Genomic DNA, 1,157 nt, shown 5'->3' with positions numbered 1-1,157 from the left:
CCAATGACATTCTTCTCGGAAATAGAAAAAAAAATCATAAAATTTGTATGGAACCACAAAAGACCCCAAGCAGTCAAAGCAATCCTGAACCAAAAGAACAAAGCTGGAGGCATTACATGATTTGACTTTAAAATACACTACAAAATTATAGTAACCAAAACAATATGGTACTGGCATAAAAACAAAGACATACACCAATGAAACAAAATAGAGAGCTAAGAAATAAATCCACAAATTTACAGCTAACTGATTTTTGATGCAGGCACCAAGAACACAAAATGGGGAAAGGGCAGACTATTCTATAAATAGTGTTGATAAATGGATATTCACATGCAAAATAATGAAAGTAGACTGTTATCTGTCAGCATATACAAAAATCAACTCAAAACATATTAAAGGAATAAATCTAAGACCTGAAACTATGAAACTACTAGAAAAAAATGCAATCTCATTCATCTGTGGAATCTAAAAAACTTGATCTAATAGAAGTAGAAGAAAACTTAGTGGGAAAGGTTTATGACTTTGATCTGGGCGATAATTTTTTTTATTATTATACATTACGTTCTGGGATACATGTGCAGAACAGGCAGGTTTGTTACATAGGTATACATGTGCCATGGTGGTTTGCTGCACCCATCAACCCATCATTTACATTATGTATTTCTCCTAATGCTATCCCTCCCCTAGCCCCCACCCCTCAACAGGCCCGGGTGTGTAATGTTCCCCTCCCTGTGTCCATGTGTTCTCATTGCTCAACTCCCACTTATGAGTGAGAACATGTGGTGTTTGGTTTTCTGTTCCTGTGTTAGTTTGCTAAGAATGATGGTTTCCAGCTTCATCCATGTCCCTACAAAGGACAGAAATTCATGATTTTTTGGCTGCATAGTATTCCATGGTGTGTATGTGCCACATTTTCTTTATCCAGTCTATCATTTATGGACATTTGGGTTGGTTCCAAGTCTTTGCTATTGTGAACAGTGCCACAATAAACATAAGTGTACATGTGACTTTATAGTAGAATGATTTATAATCCTTTGGGTATATACCCAGTAATGGGATTGCTGGGTCAAATGGTATTTCTGGTTCTAGATCCTTGAGGAATCACCACACTGTCTTCCACAATGGTTGAACTAATTTACACTCCAACCAACAGGGTA

This window comes from Homo sapiens, chromosome 15 (assembly GCF_000001405.40).
Source record: "Homo sapiens chromosome 15, GRCh38.p14 Primary Assembly".
In the NCBI taxonomy this organism is placed as follows: Eukaryota; Metazoa; Chordata; class Mammalia; order Primates; family Hominidae; genus Homo; species Homo sapiens.
Note: the sequence above shows the minus strand (reverse complement) of the source record.